The following is a 1,159-nucleotide window of genomic DNA, read 5'->3' on the forward strand; positions in this document are numbered from 1 at the left end:
AAGCACTGACAATCACAAAGTTGGGATGAGGAGAGTATTTGTTTGAAGATCTTAGAAAGTAGGTCAATCAATTTCTTCCACAGCCTCCTTTTACCAATCATATGAATTATTTCAAATTAAAGTTGAAAAAGTCTCTCTCTGCATCAAATTCTTTGAATATTTCCTAAGCAAGATATGCTTAAATACACAAAACAAACATCATTCAATAAAACTGACTTGGAAAGGGATACAATGAAATGTGGTTTCAGTGAACTCTGTAAGTTACCTACATTATTTGAACATTTTCCCCTTTAATTTCACAAATTAAAGTTTTATAGATATATTTAGTTTAAAATTAAATTAATTAAAATCAAATAAAATTTGAAATTTAGTTCCTTCGTCCAACTAGCCATATTTTAAGTGCTCAATTGTTGCACTTGGCTTGTGGCCACTATTAAGAACAGTGCAGATGTTGAGTATTTCCATTATCTCATAAATTTATATTGGACCGTGTTGTTCTAGACCTTAGTGGCTCATATTTTGGCTACTTAAACTTTCTTTTTACTTACACTAAGTAAAGCTCTTCCTCAAGATACTATTGGCCACATAGGAACTGTAGTCTGCATGTTAAATAAATCTCGTCTAAAAAGTGTGTTTCTGTGTTTTTATACCTTCTTATGCTCTCTCATAGCAACGCAGAAGCTTTGACTAAAGCATCTTCACAACTTACATCTTCACCACTTTCTTGGCAAGTCATGATTATAGTTATAAATTTGGAATGAAAAATAAAGTAAGACTCTTTGCTATTCTGTGATTTTCAAGGAAAAAATAAGCTGAATAGAATGTATGTGCTGACATAAAAAGATATTGTTCATATACATTTTTTTGCCACTGCCTCTCAACTTGCTTCTTTCGGACTGCTCATGATAGAGGTTTAAAAGCTTTGATTCTGAACGCGCAGCCCTGTTTTATTGATAAAAATAAGCCCTAATATTTTTTTCCTTTGCTTTATCTCTTTTTATGTGGGCAGCTGATAAATTCCAGAATTCCTACGGGATGTTCTAATGGAATAGCAGGTTGAGCTGCCAGCAGTGTCAGTATTACAAGATAAAAACATAATGCCATGAACCTATATATCAAATGTTGTGTTGCAAATGAAACACTATCTACTTCATGTAAA

Source organism: Homo sapiens, chromosome 5 (assembly GCF_000001405.40).
Source record: "Homo sapiens chromosome 5, GRCh38.p14 Primary Assembly".
Lineage (NCBI taxonomy): Eukaryota > Metazoa > Chordata > Mammalia > Primates > Hominidae > Homo > Homo sapiens.